This window comes from Homo sapiens, chromosome 4, assembly GCF_000001405.40.
Source record: "Homo sapiens chromosome 4, GRCh38.p14 Primary Assembly".
Lineage (NCBI taxonomy): Eukaryota > Metazoa > Chordata > Mammalia > Primates > Hominidae > Homo > Homo sapiens.
The window spans coordinates 167,222,996-167,241,264 of NC_000004.12; the positions used below are offsets into that span (position 1 = coordinate 167,222,996).

Sequence of the window (18,269 nt, forward strand, 5' to 3'; positions counted from 1 at the left end):
ATGAATATATATTTTATATATGAATATATAATATATTATATTTTATATATGAATATATATTTTATATATGAATATATATTTTATATATGAATATATATTTTATATATGAATATATAATATATATTTTATATATGAATATATATTTTATATATGAATATATATTTTATATATGAATATATAATATATATTTTATATATGAATAATGTATATTTTATATGTGAATATATAATATATAATATATTTTATATTCATTTATAAATATATGTATATATTCATTTATAAATATGTATTTATATATTCATTTATAAATATGAATAATCATATATAAGCATATATATTTATATATGTTTATGTATATTATGTTTATATATAAATATATATTTATAGAGGGAGATATTATATTATATATAGAGAGAGATATATATTAAAGTGGGATAATATATTTAAAGTGCCTAGCATATAACACAGACCCAAAACAGCATTAACAGATGAAGAAGCATTACTCTTCTGTGTTTAAGGACAAAGTCTTTAGAGCCAAAATTCTACTACTGGAGAGAGCCCTGACTGATACTAGCTGTGTGATCTTGGCCCTGAGTTTCCTCAGCTGCACAATGGATTAACAGTTGCACATTCCATATGGGGATATTACTAATTAATACATTTTTAAAAACTAGTCAGGCACAGTGAATCATGCCTGTAATCCCAGCACTTGAGGAGGCCAAGGTAGGAAGATCACTTGAGCCTAGGAGTTCGAGACCAGCTTGGGCAATATAGCCAGTCCTTATTCCTAAAAAATTAAATTAAAAGTGAACTTATAATACTCCTTGCATGTGATATGCTGTATTAAAGTGCTTGTTATTATTATATTATTATCAATTTCTAGACAAGGAAGAGTCTGTCGTATTTTTATTATAAAATTTTTAGTACTTACCTCATTTGATATTTTGGGTGAGTGCATTTTTACCATCATCATTCTCTACAGCCATAGTGAGTCAAATTTTGAGTACCCTATTCATATATAAAATACAGACTATTTGTGGATTTAACTTATTTTTAAAAGTAATTTGGTTAGAAAACAGCCATTAATTAAATTAAAAGATTTTAAAATTATTTCCATCAAATATCTAATAAAGTTGTATTTATAAATTCTGACATCATAGTTTTCTAACACATATTTTTTCATTTTTATTATCTTTGTCATCTTGCTTACTATATACATGTTTAGTGCACTATTAAAGACATTGTGTTTAAACTTAATTACCATAGTTAGCTGGAATTTTCAGAGAATAAAATAGGACAAAAAGAGGAATCCATGAAAAAATAGTATGGAAAAGTTAAAATAGAGTTTATTTGTCCTTGCATATTCAAAAATGTAGATAAAGATGTGGGATATTTTACTGATGAAATGCTATAACAATCTGAAAATAGAAACATTAACATATAGTTCATTCTAAATCCACATAAAAAAGCTTAAGAGAATGCTGTGGAAAAAGAAGCAATTTTTGTATATGCCACTCGTTATTTGATTGTTTAAAATAGCCATGTATACCAAATGTAAGTTTTTTCCTAATTAATTTCCTAATCAACAGTAAACCAAGCTACCAAATGTTCAAACTTAACAAAAAAGATATATAATACAGATAAATGCAATAAAAAAGTACTTAAACTTTGTTGTTTTTTTTTAAGACTGAGTCTTGCTCTATTGCCAGGCTGGAGTGCAGGCACATGATCTCAGCTCACTGCAACCTCTGACTCCCTGGTTCAAGCGATTCTCTTGCCTCAGCCTCCCGAGTAGCGAGTAGCTGGGATTACAGGCACGTGCCACCACACTCAGCTAATTTTTGTGTATTTAGGAGAGATGGGATTTCACCATGTTGGCCAGGATGGTCTCGATCTGCTGACCTCAAGATCTGCCCACCTTGGCCTCCCAAAGTGCTGGGATTACAGGCATGAGCCACCACACCCATCCAAAACTTTCTTTTCTATACTGAAATAGCATAATTTAAATAATCAATAACTATTCTAATCAAACAGTTATGAAAACAGAATACTGAATTTAATTATCTCTGTTTTACAACAAGAGTGATAATATGGCTTAAAAGTTTCCAAAATATACAAGCCACATATAAAAACAGGAAGAATCTACCTCACACAGATTAAGATTATTATTATTTATTCAACATGATGCTTTTAAAACCAATAAATGAACTAATGAAATATAATAGTGCTATTTCTGAAGGAGGGAATAAAAATTTTTATTAGGCCATTATTCTTAATTTACAAATAGAAAAATCTGCAATATATATTTGGAGGTGGGAGACAACATTTCTGATTCAGACCATTATTTCCTCGATAAAGGAAACAGCTTGTGAGCAGAAAATCGAAGGCCAGATGACTTCTGGTGGAAGAATATTAGGGAAAGCATCAATCCTTTGGGAGAAATGACATGACTGCAAGGGAAAAATAACTTTATGAAGACTTTTTACCTACCCTTTTACCTTACATATTTGTATACTATATTATTACTATTATTAAATTAATTATGTGTAACATATTAAGCAAAATTATATAATCATCCCTTGTAATATAATCATGCCATGAATATATATGAAAAATGATAAATAAATAGGAACGTTTTTCTGTAGCAAGTATGAAGATGGAAAAACTCAAGGATCTCTCCAAAAAACAAAACCTGATAGACAGTGCAACTCACCATCTCTGTTTATGATTCAGTTAAGAAGTTCAGGCATTCTAATTGCCAGTAATCTCGCATGTTAAGAAAAAAAAAAATCTAAAGAGTAAAGCCTGTATGGGAATTCTGGCAAATCTGATTTGCTGCAGTTTTTATTTCCTAACTGTCCCAGAGATACTAGAACCAAAAAGATTGTTTTCTTTGCTTTCAAGCCTAAGAGCTGCATGAACCTGGCAAGGGTGTCACTTCTAGTATTATTTCAGCAAAATGTTGTTAGTGGTACTTTCCTTTTTCTGCATCGGAGGAAATACACCAGTAACAGCAAGAAAATATCCTGTTCTTTAACTAAGAGATGTGAGAAGTAAATTCTGATTCTTGCCCACCAATCACCATTAATGCCTTAACACAAGGAATTCCATTCCTATGACCAAAGCTCTACAGCTCAAAAAGATTTCACAGAAGTCATGCTAAATGATTTCACTAAAGGAAAACAGCATTGGTAAGTAGATTCAGTCTCTCCTTAACATGGTAGCTTTTTGGACACTCTGCTTTGGTTTTGACCTTCAAAATTTCCTTTTAGAAATTAGCACTCTACTACTTACTACCAAACTCCTACATCTAGAACAGTAGGTACTAGGTGTCATAGTTTTGGCCCAGCAAGCACTACTCAAGCATGTCCATCATGGCTAAGAGGATACTGGGATAATATGGAATTTGGAAGAAAGATTGATTAGGGAGGCAAACAACTGACAGGCAATGATAAAAAACATTCCCATCAGAGGACACGGGGATGGAGACTGAGAATATTTTCAATAGATATTTAGATGATTGAAAGAGCATAACCAGATACCGTAGTTACCAACATTTTCTCCGAGTATTGAGTATCGCTTGCTTTCTTTTAGTGCTGATCATTCCCATTAAAGATTAAATTTCCCAGTATCCCTTGTAGCTGGGTGTTGACATGTAACCAAGTTCAGGCCTGTGGGATACAAGTAGAAGTAATGTGTGATGACTTTCAGGTGAATTCTAGGACAAGGTGATTGTCCTAGATTTTCTCTTAAACGCCTCCTGTTAGATAGGAAATGGCCATTAATAGAGAAGCTTGCTTGAGGGAGTAACCCTGAAAGCCCAGGCCTGGACACCCGTTTCTTGATGGTCTCATGCTTGCAAAAGAGAATTCTATCGTTACTCGGGTACTCTGATTCAGGGTCTCCTTTCTGCAGGAACTTAACCTCTCTCTAACCAACGCATTGGCAGTTGTAAGTGAGGTGGAAGAGAAAGAAATAAATCTGAACTGTCAGTAAAGTATCTGGATTTACCTATATAACCATTAATTGAAGTTCAGTAGTTGAAGAAGAAAGGGAAGATGCTAGTGCTTGATATTACCTATTAGGCAGCAAAAATATTTAAAGATGTTAGAGCAACACAATTATGTTGTTGAAGAGGAACTGTGGAAAAAAGAATTGAACTAATTGGCCAAGGGAGCACCATGATGCATGTCATTGTCATCTGCTGTTGACCATTCTAAAACTGGACACGACAGCTTAGACACGGCATTTCTATTTTGGCAAGTTTTGGAACTTATAGGACTAAAGTGGTTCAATACTTATAACTTTATATTTTATAAAAATTGAATTTTTATTTAAATTACAAAACTGGGCTTGAGGTGGCCAGAAATTGAACTGGCCAATAAAAGACAACACAGCTCTAAAAAACCTTTAGGTAAGGATTTTTCAATTGGCAATGTATTTTGAATATAATGTCACCTCATTTAGTAAGTATTTTCTAGTGATAACTCTGAGACAATTATTGTGGTAATGCTAGGTGAGTTGTAGGATCATGGAGAGGAAGGGAGACTACAATCTGTAGCTGTAGGGAGTTCACAGTCTAATGGGGTGTCCAAATCTGTAAACTAGAAGAGGTAGAAAGAATAGAAAAGATGAAATGATTTTCATAAATGAAAAAAGACATATAAATACTCCAGGAGCTTACAGGACTTGGATAGTATTTACAGAAGTCAAAGATCAGCCTTTAAAAATAAGTACATAAAATGAAATAAAATTATGACCCAGATCATGAAAACTAAAGTTGTGTGAGAACATAAAATGTCACTCTGAGTCACAATCATAAGATCTAAAAGCATCCAACCCCAAAGTCTTACTGTCAGAGTAGCAACATAAATGCTCTATAGTGGTACACGATGTTCCTTTTGTATATCTAGATAAAAAGTTTAAATATATAATCCCAAGCAAGCTGACTAGCTGTAAGAAACAGAAAAGCACACTGTGTCCACACATGTAACAGTAAATGAAATCATCTCAAGTTATAAGATGCAGAAAACCTAACCAGGAAAAGAAAAGAAATAAATAAAGAAACCTAACATGTCTTAACATTTTGGGGGTGGCTAGATGGATGTTGGCTTTCTACTCAACATGTTATGTGTAATAACTATACACATATCTGGTGCATACAAAAAACCTATAGCACAATATATAATTGCCTCTGTTTTCAGATTAATCTGTTGTCAACTTGACATACACACATAACACATATATGTAGATATACATTTATGCAAGAATCTACGCACATAAATACATATAAACATATACAACATACATAGAGTAATTTGTTTCTCTTACTTACACTTTTACACTTAGTTACACTTTTCTAGTCATTGACTGGAAGTTATGAAAGCTAGAGGGTTAAAAGTATTGCTTGCTTCTCTTTAATTTCTGTTAGGATAAACACATAGAAAATCGAGTAAAGTTTTGTGATCAATTCATACCTCCTGACAGAGTCTGATAATGTGATACCAGCTCTAGCTAAGATTCCCTTCAGAAACAAGCAGATCAGTGGACATTCTCTGACCTGCCTTCCTTCGTCATGTGATAACCTGATGACAAAACCAAACTTAAATCCTGACTGGCAAGCAGGATAGTGGTTGTAGTAGCAGGTTTAAAAAATAGGAGTGTGGAGTTTGTGCTGTGATCACGGCTTAACTAGGATCCTGATGACAAAAACAAGAGTCAGGATGCTGCCAGAGCCTAGCCCTTTGCTGCTGTGGTTACTCACTGGTCCCAGAATCATCAAAGATTGCCTATTGCTTCTCTTAAGAGGTCAGTTGCCTCTCTCCATTAAATCTCCCCATGATTTAAACAATATGAATAATAGTCCAATAAAAATATTACTGCATGCTACAGTCTTCACCAGCTCTGATCTGCAAATATATACACTATATTCACAAGCTTTTAAGAACTAAACCCAGTGCCTGTAATCACCAAAAAAGCAAAAGAAAGAGAGAAAAACACTCATGATAATGCACTCAATTAACTGTGAAGAATTCCCAAGAAATGCCTATGTTCTCAACTACAGTGAAATATAGGTAATTATTACCACAGTTACAAATGTTGTTTCATAGTGAGAAACACTGAAAATGTACATTTTCATAAGAATTGGATATCCATTATTGAGAAAGCATTCTTAAACAGAGAGAACAGTAGTTCACTTTATTAAATATATCCAAATTACAAATAAATCTTTAATTTTATTTTTGATACATATTGTTGAAAAGTATAATAGCACAACTTTGTTGCCAGAAAGGAGGATCCCTCAATGCTAAGAGTATGCCTGTAACTCAAGAAATATAATCAAGGCACATCATAAACCTAAACAAAGTACTGAGAGAGCATTCCTTAAAGATTCTCATTGTTTGAATTTTAATGGCCTGTAGAGCCATAGAATACTTTATTTGGAGTAGACATAGAAACAAATTGTTGTATTTACTTTCTAACAACAGTAGAAGTTGATAGACCCTCGAGAATCTTTACCCCTCTGTAGCCCACTAAGTTCCAGGAAATATCCCACACCATCATCCATTATCTCTTAAATAATCTGTGCACTTAAGAACCTCACCTTAGATGAAAAAGGCAAATAAAAAGAAAAAACAAATTAAGAATGTTCTGCTTACTATTCAACACCCACAAATCAGATATTTTTTAAAAGTCAACTTATAATTTGAGTGCCTCTGAGACATGTCAGCCTGTATTTTACATTTTCTCAATATTCTACATGTTCTTTAGCTTACATTAAGGTTAAATCTGTAAAGTTAAACTGTAGAACTTTATTATTACGTTAAATATACCCAAAGGATATTAAACATCACTTAAGGAATAAATGTAAACTGAAGTTGATTATGGTTTCTATAACACTAGTGGTCACCATTCCTTAAAACAAAAAGTTCAGAATGAGCCCCAGGTATTTTTATTGAAAAACAAATTTAATTTAATCTAGAACTATTTGAATTTCCATTAAAGGGTACAATCCTGTTTTTATTATATGAGTTACTTAAAAATTAGCATGGCCATCATTCCTCTTTTTTCTAAGTTTTTATTATATTGATTCCAAAATACAATATTTGAGGGCTTCTCATATTTTATCTTTTTTTGTCATTCCTAATTAATTTATGTATTTCAGTGAAATCAATAATAGATAATTTTGATAATGTTATTATACCATGCATTACTAAGTAATTCATTGGTTCCAAATTCCATACTCATTTATTACATGATAAAGGGTATGGTTTAATTAAACTATAAAATATAAATATTTGAAATATGCAATACATAAGCCACTCGAGCTAATAATTCAGTTTCCTCATAACGATGCTGATTTCCAATTCTCCTAATATATTCACAAGAATGGGATGAATGAATCCTTTACTCCTGCTCTGGGAGAAAGTAATGGTACCCCACAATTTTCCCACTGAGGAATCTTGTGTACTTAATTTTATCACTAGTCAACAGAGCCCCCCACCAAAAAAAAAAAAAAAAAAAACCAGCATGTAACCAGTATATCTACTGAATATATACCACTGTTGAGGGAGTTCTTATTTTATTTTATTTCAAAATCACATAATTATAACCTAAGTAAAGCATGCTGGTTCTATCTACTGTACTTATGTTTAAATGTGTTGACTTTTCTGTATCTTTAGATTAAGTGAAACTTGTATGCTTTCCTAAGACATAGATATTAAAATCCTTATCAGAATTTTTATACTAATAACCAAATAAATTAATAATTTTCAAAACAGTGAAAGCTCTTTATGTCTATAACATTAAGCATCGTACACTCCAAGCGTCCTTCAAAAGGACAACAAAGGTAACAAACTTTATTCAACAGACATTGCTAGCATAGAGCAGTCAAAAATACTTGAGGTTTCTCCTGTGTTAACACCTACTCATTGCAAGCTTGTTTCTCCTGTGTTAATACCTATTCACTGTAAGCTTGTCTTTGCTTTCATTGCTTCTTTAGCATTTATATTGAGGAAATCAAGAAAATGAGCCTCAACGGCAGTAGTTTTTATGCTCACCTACTCTCTCGTAACTCTATCCATGCTCTTTGTTCCTAAAGCTTTATTGTAAATCAATTATATTTACATACGTATATTACAAATATATAAAGAGTAACATTTATTTTTAAAATTATTCAATTAAAATATAATGCTAAATTGTATTTTTAAATATTATTTAAGATACTTTTAAAATGTATTTCAAAAGAAAGAACAGTTCAAACTTTCATTAAGGAGTCACTTGTTAAACAGTGCTGATTATGTAAAACAGTCACTTCGGAAGAAAAAATAATCATAAGGATTAATCCAAGCAATAATTATGCTGATGCTTTCCAAGGCTTTTGTATAAATAAAATTAATTATATTTTATGGGAAAAAAGCACAAAAGTACTTCAGTTAAATTGTTTCTCAAATAAGAGGTTCAGAATTCCATGTTTCTTTGCCCTCATATAAAGTGAGTACATAAATCATTATTTGAGATATGAATGCTCATGCAGAACATTTAAAGGTAGATTCATGCAGTATAGTATTATTTCAAGTAATGCCTTATCGCCATGTGCTTCCAGCTGAAAACCAACTGAAAAATAACATCCTGAGAGCTACAGAAAAGATTATTAAGCTAATGATTCCCCAAAAGGGAAAGAATATACATAAATAGCAGTGGGGTGGATGGTCTAGATAAGGATTATATATTATGCATTCTGAATTATTATTTGAGAAACCACACTGTCAGCATACCTTTCATCATGTTAATAATAAGCAACAGGTGGTTCAAGGGTAAAAAATGATGGCATTTATCCGCTCCATTCCCTCCAGAAGTCATCTTTGCAAAAACATAACTGTCTTACTAAAATGGTAATACTAAAACCTGATGAAAGTTTTTCAAATAAATCAATATTTATTTTTAGGTGTTGCATATACTTCAAAACAGATATTTGCATAAAATGTATCAGTAAATCCTTTTTAAAATTTATGTACAATTTTGATGGACTTTTTCCTTGAGATCCTAGAATAACTGAGAATGATATAGCAATAAAATCTCCATCTCTATAGAAATTGACTCCATAAATTCTAGCATATTTAGCTCTATAGTAGGCAACTCAGCTTGTCTCAATAGTTTAAGTCAAACACATTCACAAACTGTCCAAGTCCCTCAATAATTTAATAAAGTAATTTGAATAAAATAAGAGAATACTAAGTTATTCAAAATTTAAAATACATTTTAGAGAAGAAAGCTTTTATCTCTGCTCTCATTGAAGATAGTAATACTCTTACAATTCTCCCAGCGAGGAATCTTGTGTAGTTGATTTTATTAAAAAAAAAAAAAACCCAAAACAAATAGAAAACAGCATGCAACCAGTATTACCTACTAAATATATCCCATTGTTGGGAGGTCTTTCAAAAATTCATTTCTAGAAGATTTTAAAGCAGCCATTAAATAATGAAATGTCATAATGTCAAACACTGTTCAAATACTGATGAAGTGTTCAATTTTCGTTTTTGTTTTTGATTTTGCCAAATGAGGGCATGATAAACAAATTTTCTTTAGGTTTAGGAATATCTCACTCGCTATCCTTTTTGCTTGTACTCAATATTGGTGTAAACTTAAAACAAATATGCAACGGGTATGCTTTTATAAGGGCATTTATTTAGCAATAAAATGATGCTTAAGCTTTGTTCATGAAGTATGTAGGCAAGGTTCTCCATTAAATATTCTCAATCAAATGGCTAAACCTAATTTTAAAGTAAAAATTTGTGTTTCTTCAGGAATCCCTCTGCTAGATTTGGCTTGTCAGCTACTTCATGGAGAGGCTGAGAGAATGGGTTAGAGGAGGCAGGATGAAAGCTAGCCTAGGCTCCCTTTTATTTTCCTAAATGGTGACTGAGTCGGAGCTGATGAAAGAAGTTAACTCATCTCCACGTAGTGCACTGCAGATGGACTCCACGAGAAATTCTCTCAAATGTCACGGTAAGGATTGGCAATGTGTCTAGGAACCACTCTCGCTCCAGTTCAGGCCTTCCGCGTTTTAAAGGGTGGGCTAGGGGCGGTATTCAGCCAACAGGGCGGCCTCCTCACTGGGACAACCAAATTCAAGGCTTCCAGTTGTATCGTGCTCTGTACGTGAGCAGCTCTTACTGGGCTCCATTCAGATCAGGTGAGGAAAATAAAAATGACTGGCAAGCCATGGCCACTAGCTTCAAGTGTGGAAACCTGGCTCCCTCTTAATAACCCTTTTGAAAACTCCCCAGGGGAGTCTATGGTTTAACTCTTTTATCGCTGTCACCTGCAATCCTCCCGCCCTCGCAACCTCTTCCCGCAGAGTTCAAGGCAGTGATTCATTTTGGAATAAAATATAATCAAATGCATTGCAAAGATGTTCTAGATTAAAGTCATGTCGAAGCACAAATCTGATCGACAATTTTATGTAAGCGGGAGCGTTCAACGAGTCCTTACTGGTGCCGCCAAACATCCTCCCACCCTTGGAGAGCGGGCATTTATAAATCTTACATCTTCCTACCTCCTCCCTCAAATTCCTTAATGGACCATTAGTGACAGGATCGATCCTAGTTACTTTAGTAGCGATACATCGCAAAGGCACATCTGCTGTGTTTACCAGTGCCAGAAACACCATTCAAAAGTTGAGAGGTTAGAGCCAGCACTTTGTAACCTTTGTGGGCCGGGAGGGGGCACAGGGGAGAGCAGGGTGGGGGAGGAAGAGTGTGAACCTGGTGAGACCTGAACTCCTGTGCATCCAAGAAACAAGCCCTTGAACCAGCTGGGAGGGGGCAGCGGAACTGTGAACTTCTCCAGCAGCCCTGCGCCGCCGCGTTTCCCTAAACCCCTCTCCTCAGAAAACGGAGCCCACTCCCCACCCACATCCGGCGGCCGCGGCCCCCGCCTCGGAGCAGCGCGCGCGTGTGCCCGGGGATGTGGGTGCGCGGAACTTACGTCTCGGAATTTGTTCCACTGTCCGACTTCCTTGTCATACTGAGAGATTGTGGTGAGCCATTGTTTATCATCCAGAAAATTACCGCCGTCCGACCGCCCCCCGGCTGCAGCCACCGCCGCGGCAGCTGCGAGAGACTGACTGCACCAAGCGGCTGCACACACACACAGTACGGCTGACACCTTGAGCATCTGGGAGAGGAGACACAACGGGGGGTGGGGGGGCATGTCAGTGTCAAATAAGGGGTACGAAGCCAGGAGCGACCCTGGAAAACATGCATTAGCAACGACGAGGGTAGAGGGAGGAGGAGACAAGCAGAGGCAAGCGTGTCCCCTCCCCGCAGGCTTTACCCCCAAAAGCCGGGCACTCACACACACGCAGACCCAGAGGAGGAGAGGTGGGTATAAGGAAGCAAGCCCCAGCCGCAGCAGCCCGAGCGGGCACAAAACCGCTTCCTGGCACATCACCTTGTTGTGAGCCAGCACTGTGCTCGCAGCTCCTGCTGGAAATGCAGCCCTGCTCTGCCAACTCGCTGCTTTCTGGAGCTGCTGCACGCGCCGCCGTCTCGAGCCGTCCACTCAGCTCCCTGCGCCCGGCGCGCTCCCCCCATCTCCACCCTCCCTTCGCGCGCGGATCTCCAGCTTACTCCCCTCCGTTCCCCCTCCCTCCCCGACCTCCGTTTTTTTCCTCTTCCACCTCCTCCTATCCCACCTTCCTCTCGCTGGATCCCAGCTACAGTTGGCTCCGGATAGGACGCTTGGCTGGAGCCAGAGGACGAGGTAGCTCCTAGCCTAGGAATCCTTATCTGCTTTGTAACCTCTCCCCTCCAGAAGAGGTTCTCATGTTCGCGAGACAGCCTGCTCATTCTCTGCTCCTGGATTTAACACAAAGTGTACTATCTCTCGCAGTTGCCTCTGCTCCACAATTTCCAGGGTTGTCAGGCAGACGTGAGAAACAAGATCTGAGGAAAACTTTATGCATTAATAAATAAGAATACCTGGACTTCCTACCCTGTAAAGCTCCTGAACTCAGCTCCTCCCTAAAGAAAGGCCATCTATCCACAAGGTCTTGGGAGATCTGTTTAATTTCAGAAAATTTAAAGTTTGCTGTGAGCTTCTGGATTACTACCGACAGCAAACTTTCATGTTAAAGGTTGCAGTTTCTTTTTTTCTTTTCCTTTGTGTGTGTGTGTGTGTGTGTGTGTGTGTGTGTGTGTTTTGTTTTGAGAGACAGAAGCATAACGAGGTAGGGCGTTTGAGAACACCTATATCTCCTACATACTGTAGCTGCATTTTTCCCTTTATAAAAACTCCCTGGCAGCTTTATTTTAGAACGTAGAACCTGAATCGGAAACTTTAAAAGCCTACTGTCTCCCTCCTGCAAAATAAGACAGTTTTGAAGCCCGAACACCAATTTTGTATTCCAAACTTCCATTTATGACAAAATATTTGGCTTTCCATGTCGTTTCTACATATTCTAAATAAACTGGAAGGAAATCAGTAATTAGCCCCTTGTAGAGAAAATCTGATACAGAGAATCTCTCATATTTAGAGAATTTAGGTGAAGTGAATATTACACATAAATCAAGAAATGTCTGCAAGCCAATAGACTGCAATAACATTATGAATCTCTATTTGAATTATTAGAGATTTCAGCCAAAACTACATCTCCCAAAGCTACGACCTTTGAACATTTCTTGTAGCCTCCAAAACTTCAGAAGCTATTCGAATAGCAGCAGTACACATTTTCCATATCAATCTCGTCTAACATTTTGCAATCTATATTAACAAAACGACCAAACTCAATGTTTAATGTTAATTTCCTTTTTTAATGTAATATTTCAAAATAAATGTATAATATGTATGGTAGGAAATATAAGTGTAATATTTATATAGGAAAGAAATTTCTATTACTATTTTTAACTCAGAAAAAGATGTTTTTCTCAATTCCCCCCATTTCTACAGTGATGAATGCAATTAGTGGAGAAAAACACGGAACATACTACTGCAATTCATGGGAGCCCTGATTGACACGAACAAATGTCAGAAAACTTTAAGAATATAGATGTGTGCTAATTCTTCAAAGATATTTATTTTTGCCTGTTCACAGAGGGTTATTACCATGTAGTTTACATATTTAAATTCTTGTTTAGTAAATTTATTAAGACAATAGTAGGTGGTCCATTCTCCACTATCACCTTTTCCTGACCCCTGGTCCTTTGACCTCCCACACTCTCATCCTTAGCTCTCTTCCTCAAAATTTGAAGAAATACTTTATTATTAATAAGAATATCTCATCATGTTTTAAAACCTCATTATTTCTAAATTTAAGTCTAATAGGGAAAGCACAGAAATTGTTTCTTACAAGAAACTGATACTTGGCAGAAGTCAGTAATTCTAAAAGTAAAAATGACCTTCTAACCTTTGTAACTTACCTTTTAAAAAGATAGTTGTTATTAGCTACAAAATACTTGATGAGGAATAATGCTCTAACACTCATCCCCTTCAGCATCTGCTATACATTTTAGCTCAATAACTGGCACCATCTAAGGCCAACATGGTCACCTTTAGATTTATGGAAGCACATATATTTATGTTTATACAGCATTTCCCCCCCAAATACGTCTATTTTGTGGCTGACTCTCCAATGTTCAGAGCATGTTTTCACATCTAGCTTTCACTGGCAGCTTCCCATACTGCAGCTCCACAGGGACGTCTCCAAGTTGTGAAATTTGTTGAAAACAAACAATGACAGTTGAATTCATCTTGGGAGAAATGCCTTTGATAGGGTTTTAAACTACAGATCTGAAGATAGAGTAGGATTTACTAGCAAATTGCAAGTTTAAAATTCTAAAGTCAAAAGAGGCAGAGTGAGCCTGTCTACAGTGTATTTGTGTTGGCCTGGTGTGGTCCAGTCACCTGACTGCTCCTACAGCTCCTTAAGCTTCTCTTTCCAAGCCATTGCCATTGTCTAGGCTAAGTGGGCATGTTGGTAGTGAGAGTCAAAGTCTAGTAGGTGTGATGTTGTGATGTTATTAATCACAGGGAAAGGTTTCTATCAGTTTCTCTATATATCAATATTTTGGTCCTCAAACAGCCTGCTTTCAAGGTTTAAATAATCCTAGGAGAATTCACACTTCAGTTAACACCTTGGTTATCAGTTATCACCTCAGTGGGGATTCATTGAAAGCTTGCTGAGAGCAAAACACAGCAGAGAATAATAAGGGAAGAGTATTAGGTGGGCAGTAAGATATTGGAAGAGAGTAGTCAGGAGCCTTGTATGTCAAGGTAGGTGAGTAGACAAGAAATACTTCACTGACTGCTTCCCAGATAGATGGAGAGCCAGTCTAAAAAACTGGAGAAGCCAAAAACGCAGAAAGTGGGGTGCAGCATATGAGGTGGGTAAAGTGAGACGCTGGTGCCAGGGCTGGGACTTGATTTTATTTTTCAGATCATGCTTTACAAAATTGGAACTCAGAGCAAGACACAGGGCTTCAGATTCCCAGCCCCTTTGTTGTCATTCTGCCACCTGATGCAGAAACATAGTTTAGATACATTATGAAAAGCCAATGCTGAGGCCACTGCTAGATTGAACTTTGCTTTCATATTTGTGTATTTGTCCCTTTAGTTGTTCTTTCTCTCTAAACGTTCAGTAAATCAGTCCACAAATATCTATCATGAAAGATGTAAGGAACATTTTTGATAGGTATTATTTTAATTAAATGTATTTCTTCTGAAGGTTTCCTTACCCTCATTTTCAGACATGACACAGCTCTAGAAATAAAAATGCTAAGCATATATAATGACAGCTGGTCCATTTCTAACCGCCTTTGAGGTTGGATCCATGACCTTCATATAACTCCATTTATTTAAATGCGTGCACAACGTGCACACACACACACACGGTGTGGTCTTTCATAGGTTATTTTTTTCCCCAACAACTATAAAAGCATGCTACTCCATTATCTGTAACCAACATGAGGATATGCAGGAAAGGTCCAATTTATTGCACATCTTCCATGTGCCACACACAGAGCCAGGCAATTTACATGCATGATACCTTTTAGCCTTCACTGCCTAAGATCCTATAGCTACTAAGTGCAAAGGAAAGTTCTGGAGAATGATCAAGCTACTTTGTTTCTAGATATTTTTTCTCTATGTAGAAATATCTCTGAATCATCTTCTGTTTATGCTCTTTAATTCTTCTGCCCCCATATCTTTCCTTCTCCACCTGTTGCATATTTATTTATCTATCTCTATTTCAGTAAGAGCTAGGACTCATCTATAATTAAAGGCAGGAAAAGAGAGAATGGCTACTTCAGGGAGCTTGCTAAGCTAGGCAGAAGCAGCTCCACTTGTATAATGAGCACCTTAGTCCCTGACTCAAATGATGACCCTGTCCACTGGAATCTTTCATCTCAGCAGCATCAAGCCAGTAGCCCAGCAGGCAATCCGACTGGTTGGCTGAGAAGAGAATTAACCAAGACTGCCTCTCTCTCCTTATTGCAAAAGTGTTTGCCAATCAAGCAAGTGTTGTTTGTCTTCCCTGTAGGAATACATGCTTCCCATTACCTTCCCAGCTGGTGGAAGGTAAGGAGACATGTGCATTAAGGGATTTCCAAGTGTCTGACTTCACCCAAAGCTGTAGTTTAATGATATATGAGTTAACCTAAAAACAAAATTTGGCCATTTCTGAAATATTTCATTATAAGGCTAGGGAAACAATACCTGATATATAAAAGTCAACCATCTAGAATGGTGCCTTATACCAAATCCATCTTTGAGTTTAAATTAAGCATATAAAAGAGGAAAAAAAATGAAGGAAAACCCTGGGTATTAAAAACTCAGGAGTAAATTAAAGACGTCATAAAATGATGTCAAGAAGGAACACTCTATGTCTTCATTTTGGAATTGTGTTTACTGAAGTCTTGTAAGTCTTAAAAATCGTGTGTTCTTAATTTAATAGAAAGTAGCACCATTACTAGTATGTGCATTGAGGATATCAAAAACAAACAAAACCAGAATGGAATTTCTAGAATAGGATGTTAACAGACTTTTGTTGTTGTTCGTTTGTTTCTTTGTTTTTAGAGATGAACCCACTGAAGCAAACTTGGAAGATATTAGGTACCTAATTTGATAAACAGGACCTCTTGTGATTTAACTTAATCTAAAACATTCAGTAGATAAACAGACTTTAACAGCTGTAGTAGATATTGGAAACTCATTAGTCAGTTCAATTACTATAATTCTTAAAAAGGTATTTTTCAACATTTAAACCATAGGGTGAAACTGACTGAATTAACTGATTACTAAGGAGATGATAGGAAAATGGCCAATAAGGCAATTAAAGTTTGTGTTTTCTTTAAATTGAGATATATGTTTTGACTTTGTAAAATAAAGACTTTCTGAAAAGTTCAATGAGCATTAATTATAAATATTTAAATTTTCCTGAGGGCTATGAGACACTGACACAAAAAAGGATAAAATAAAATGTTTAAGAATATTTTAAAAATAATTTCACTCTATGCCCATGCACAGAAAGACACACATTCTTATATTAAGACTATTAAATTTAAAAATTTGCATGTGAAAAAGGTTTCTAAAAACACCTCGGTTCTTGAGATTTATACCAATGTGTTTTTAAAATTTTGTTAAACCTGCATATTTATTAATGATCTTAATATAAAAATATATGGGGAGCCAGTTTATTCTTTGACTCAGAATTCTACTTGGCTGAGTAAGGTATATTGTTCTAAAATGGCTATAGAGTTTCTATAGTCAAGATCTACAAAGAACCTTCTATGTTTATCTTTGTAAGTTGTTGTTTGTTTATTTTTAGCTGACCAGTGCAAAACGGGCATTATATATCATTCGCTGTTAAATTACCATGGGTTAGCTATTTTCAGAGGATAAAAACTATCCCAAGTGCTATTGCAAATTCATGCCACTTATTTCTGTCCTCTTGGGTAAATGGAGAGTTCCCTTAATGTGAGGCAGTCATACTAAGAAGGAGTATAAGGTTAAGATTACTGTCCATACATACCATGCCAAGCATCCCGTTTTCTACAAGATAAATGAAAGTAAGGAAAGGAATAGGATGTTAACAGGCTTTAACAGGCATTAGTTTAATTTTAGTTTAAAAATTAAACTAAAATGTGAAACAATTTTTAAATATGTTTATTGATTGTTCTCTAAATGTTATACAATAAGCTTCAAACTAGGGATAAAAAATGTGGCTAAGTTGAAACATGATCTCTCACACTCTTGTGAGCAAAAACACATAATTTAATAATTTAATTAGAGTACAATGAGTGAAGATAGATAATATATGGAGCAGGTTTCTTCCTGAATTAATGAGGGCACTGAAATCTGAATGTATTGTCCTATAGAAATAAAAAGTTGACAGGTAGGCTTGACCTCAGACAAACAGCTCAAACAAAGCTGGTGAGCTTCTCCATCATGTGCCAGTTCAATCAGTGGACTTTATAACATGAAACTTCAACCTTCCAAATTCAGGTGCCTTAAACAATGGCATAGCACTTACAAATCTCACATTATGGAAAAGGGAGAGATTCTTTTCCTAAAATTCATTCACAAGAAAAGAAGAGTTCCTCCACCTTGGAAGCTTTAACAGTTCTGACCTTGTATCATATTGGTTTTCATCTGGTTACATGTCCAACCCTAAAATAATCCCTGGTGGCAAAGATGATGAGAAGTGGACAGTGATAACCCAACACTCAAGCAGTGATAGGAAACAGTCTCTACCAAATCTTTGATTTGTAAGTCTGAGAGGGACTAGTTCTTCAAAGAACAGAAGATTAGAGCACTGTTTCACCAATGGCAGGATCAAAGATGGCAAATGTAACCGATTTCTACCAGAGACTTGCAGGGGATACTGTGGGAGCAAAGAAAGGGGTCATTTAAGAGACAAGATGTGAACCTTGAAAAATAAGCCTTAATAGTCAGAAAAAGAGTGGTAAAAATAACATGTCTTGTGGAGGGAAGAAGGTAGATAAAATCAGAGAGATGTGAAATGACATGATGTTCACAATAATGTTTTTCCTTATCTAAAATGTTAATATATAGACACAAATAGAGTGTATAACACTAAGTGAAAAGTTGAAGCGAAAAAATATCTCTCTTAAAATAATGTTTTTGAAGTGTTTTTCAATCTAATATGCCTCACTTAGCTGCCTGGAAAGCTTTCTAGTGCTCATTGATGCTCAGAGAATTCCCCTGTGAATCAAGCAAATTCTTGTCTTACTTTTTAGAACATAAATACA

At 35.7% G+C, this 18,269-nt stretch overlaps 1 protein-coding gene across 12 annotated transcripts in view; it reads right to left on the bottom strand.

The window, feature by feature from the left end:
• Positions 1–11,950, bottom strand: part of SPOCK3 (SPARC (osteonectin), cwcv and kazal like domains proteoglycan 3) — a 501,562-nt gene extending 489,612 nt beyond the window's left edge. For 8 of the 12 annotated variants that reach the window (NM_001251967.2, NM_001204355.2, NM_001204354.2 and 5 more), the window contains exons 1-2: positions 11,455–11,499; positions 10,990–11,178 (exon numbers count right to left, since the gene is read on the bottom strand). In NM_001251967.2, coding sequence (NP_001238896.1) covers positions 10,990–11,178 — 189 coding nt within the window. In that variant the 5' untranslated portion in view covers positions 11,455–11,499. Of the gene's footprint in view, positions 1–10,989; positions 11,292–11,358; positions 11,432–11,454; positions 11,500–11,698 lie in introns of those variants that run through there. The other 4 variants (XM_017008258.2, XM_011532018.2, NM_001204353.1 and 1 more) reach the window with 4 other exon arrangements.